Raw genomic sequence first — 3,991 nt, forward strand, 5'->3', positions numbered from 1 at the left:
AAACCAAGTGCCTCTGTCTCCATCATTGCCCTTTACTGAGCTAGGTCTAACTGGAGGTTTTTAATTTTTTTAACTGGGTTCAGTCTGAAAACTTATGTCTGTCTTCAATCCTGAAAAATTCTTAGCCAAGATATCTTTCAATGTATCATCTCCCTATCCTCATCCTTAAACCCTCTTAATAGTAGGCTGGGACTTTTTGTCCAAAACCATAGAATGTACAACAGCAAGAGTGACCCTTAAATTAAACTATGGACTTTGGGAGATAATGATTTCTCAATGTAGGTTCATTGATTGTATCAGATAATGTACCATCTTGTTGCCGGGTGTTGATAATGGAGGAAGCTATTACATATGTAGGGGCAGGGGATATGTGGGAACTTTCTGTACCTATGCTCAATTTTTCTGTGAACCTAAAACTGCTCTAAAAAATAAGTCTATTTAAAAAAAAACATGAGCTTGAGATTTAATAAAATAACTACTATTAATATTTAAAAAAGAAATAGGTCAGACACTGTGCCTCACACCTGTAATCCCAGCACTTTGGGAGGCTGAGGTGGGAGGATTGCTTGAGCTCAGGAGTTCAAGACCAACCTGGCCAACCTAGTGAGACCCCCATCTCAATTTAAAAAGTTTTTAAAATAAAAATATAAACATGAAATAGAAGGGAAGATGGATGGATACAAAAGGATTTATGATATAATATTTGAGGTTGAATTAGGAGGACTTGGAATTGATTGAATGGAATTTGGAGTTGGGGAACCTGACTGAGGGGATATTGGTCTTCAATTCATAGTGATCATTTTTGATCAATGGCTGTTGTGAATATTTCAGGATATTGTACAATTCAGCTGTTACAAGAGGGTTCTTTTACAATCTAAAATTTAGGCCGGGCGTGGCGGCTCACACCTGTAATCCCAGCACTTTGGGAGGCCGAGGCAGGTGGATCACCTGAGGTCAGGAGTTTGAGACCAGCTTGGCCAACATGGCGAACCCCATCTCTACTAAAAATACAAAAATTAGCCAGGCATGGTGGTGCACACCTGTAGTCCCAGCTACTCAGGAGGCTGAGGTGGGAGGATCGCTTGAACCTGGGAGGCAGAGGGTACGGTAAGCTGAGATCGCGCCATTGCACTCCAGCCTAGGTGACAGAGTGAGAGACTCCGTCTCAAAAAATACATAAATAAATAAATAAATAAATAAAACTTAGTAGATCTATTCCAACATTGACCCATTGAAAAATAAAATAAAATTTAGTAAAATCTGCCTTTCATTGAACTAATTGACAAAAAAAATTTAGCAGAATCTCAAAAATGTTAAATTTTCTTTCATAGATTTTAAATGATTTCTAGATTGTTTTTGAAGTGGAATTTTTTCCACCTGATTTCTTCTATGGACATATGTTCTTGATGAACCAAAGGAGAAAACAGTTTCTATACACACATGTGTTCCATCCCCAAATATCAGTGTTTCAGCATCTAGTTCTGGGCTTAGATCTAATAAGTTACTGGAGCTTCTGTTATAATTGCCCCCACCCCGCTCCATGTGGCTTAGAGAAAACCTTTGAGGTTATAAAATGTATTAAAAAGTACAACTGAACACTTGAAAAATCAAAACTGACTCGCTCTTAGTCTCTGATTTTCCATTTTGCTTACTTTTTTTTTTTTTTTTTTTTTGAGAGAGAGAATAGTTTAATAAAGCTCTATCAGCCAGGCGCGGTGGCTCACGCCTGTAATCCCAGCACCTTGGGAGGCCGAGGCAGGTGGATCACGAGGTCAGGAGATCAAGACCATCCCGGCCAATGTGGTGAAACCCCGTCTCTACTAAAAATACAAAAAACTAGCTGGGCGTGGTGGCGGGCGCCTGTAGTCCCAGCTACTCGGGAGGCTGAGGCAGGAGAATGGCGTGAACTCGGGAGGCAGAGCTTGCAGTGAGCCGAGACTGCGCCACTGCACTCCAGCCTGGGTGACAGAGCGAGACTCTGTCTCAAAAAAAAAAAACAAAAACCCTAAAGCTCTATCACTCAGCTTCAAAAAAAAAAAAAAAAAAAAAAGAATACGTGAATACTGACAGAGTTAAACCTTGGAAAGTTTCTTTTCTAAAAAGGAAACTTTAAAAGTTTTTATTTTTAATTGACAAATAATAATTGTTTATAGGCTGGGCACGATGGCTCACACCTCTCAGCACTTCAGGAGGCCGAGGTGGGAGGATCACCTGAGGTCAGGAGTTCAAGACATGCCCGGCCAACATGGCGAAACGCCATCTCTACCAAAAAAAATACAAAAATCAGCTGGGCATGGTGCCACACACACATACACACACACACACACACACCCCTATAAGCCTCATAAATATGAACAATTATTATTATTTTTTGAGACAGAGTCTCTCTCTGTTGCCCAGGCTGCAGTGCAGTGGCGCGATCTTGGCTCGCTGCAACCTCCGCCTCTCAGGTTCAGGCAATTATCCCTGCTTCAGCCTCCCGAGCAGATGGTATTACTTTTTTTTTTTTTTTGAGACGGAGTCTCACTCTTGCTACCCAGGCTGGAGTGCAGTGGTGCAATTTCAGCTCACTGCAACCTCCGCCTCCTGGGTTCAAGTGATTCTCCTGCCTCAGCCTCTGAAGTAGCTGGGACCACAGGCGCGTGTCACCATGCCCGGTTAATTTTGTATTTTTAGTAGAGATGGGGTTTCACCATGTTTGTCAGGCTGGTCTCAAACTCCTGACCTCAGGTATTCCACTTGCCTTGGCCTCTCAAAGCACTGGGATTACAGGCATGAGCCACTGTGCCCGGCCTTGGTTACATTTTTATTCAATAAAGTAAACAAAAAAGTTTTTTTTGAGATAGGGTCTTGCTCTATTGTCTAAGCTGGAGTGCAGTGGTGCATTCATAGCTCACTGCAATCCTGACCTCTCAGGCTCAAGCAATCCTCTCATCTCAGCCTCCTGAGTAGCTGGGATTATAGGAATGCATCACTATGCCCAGCTATTTTTGTATTGTTTGTAGAGATGGGGTTTCACCATGCTGCCCAGGCCAGTCTCAAACTTCTGGGCTCAAATGATCCACCCGCATTGGCCTTCCAAAGTGCTGGGATTACAGGCATGAGTCACAGCACCCGGCAAAATTCAATTTTTAGAGCTTACCCTCAACTGTAACCCCTGTTATAAATTTTAAGCCTCTGATGTCACTAAAACAATATCAAAAGATGTTATAAGAGTTAAACCTCATCATGCTTGCAAAATGAATTGGTAAAATATGATGCCATATTCGTATAGAACAATGGTCTCCAACATTTTTGGCACCAGGGTCTGGTTTTGTGGAAGACGGTTTTTCCACAGACAGGAAGGGGGTGCAGGATGGTTTCAGGATGATTCAAGCACATTACATTTATTGTGCACTTTATTTTTATTATTATTACACGATAATATATAATGAAATAATTATACAACTCATCGTAGTGTATGATCAGTGGGTGCCCTAAGCTTGTTTTCCTGTGACTAGATGATCCCATCTGGGGGTGATGGAAGACAGAGACAGATCATCAGGCATTAGATTCTCATAAAGAGCACACAACCTAGATCCTTTGCATGCACAGTTCACAATAGAGTTCTCGCTCCTATGAGAATCTAATGCTGCTACCGATCTGACAGGAGGTGGAGCTCAGGCAGTGATGCAAGCAATGGGGAGCGGCTGTCAATACAGATGAAGCTTCACTCATTTGCCCACCACTCACCTCCTGCTGTGTGGCCTGGTTGCTAACAGGCTACGGACCAGTACTGGTCCATGGCCAGGGGATTGGGGACCCCGGTATAGAACATTAGTTTTTGTTGTTGTTGTTTAATCTAGTTTCTGAGTAAGACAACACAGGTACGTTGTACAGTGAGAACTGATAACGAATATCACTGTTTCATATGTTAAGTTATCTAAAATGCAAATGTTAATTGATAGTGCCTGGTTTTTTGCTTGCTTGTTTGTTTGCTTATTTCTAAAAA

The sequence above is a fragment of the Homo sapiens genome, chromosome X (genome assembly GCF_000001405.40).
Source record: "Homo sapiens chromosome X, GRCh38.p14 Primary Assembly".
Lineage (NCBI taxonomy): Eukaryota > Metazoa > Chordata > Mammalia > Primates > Hominidae > Homo > Homo sapiens.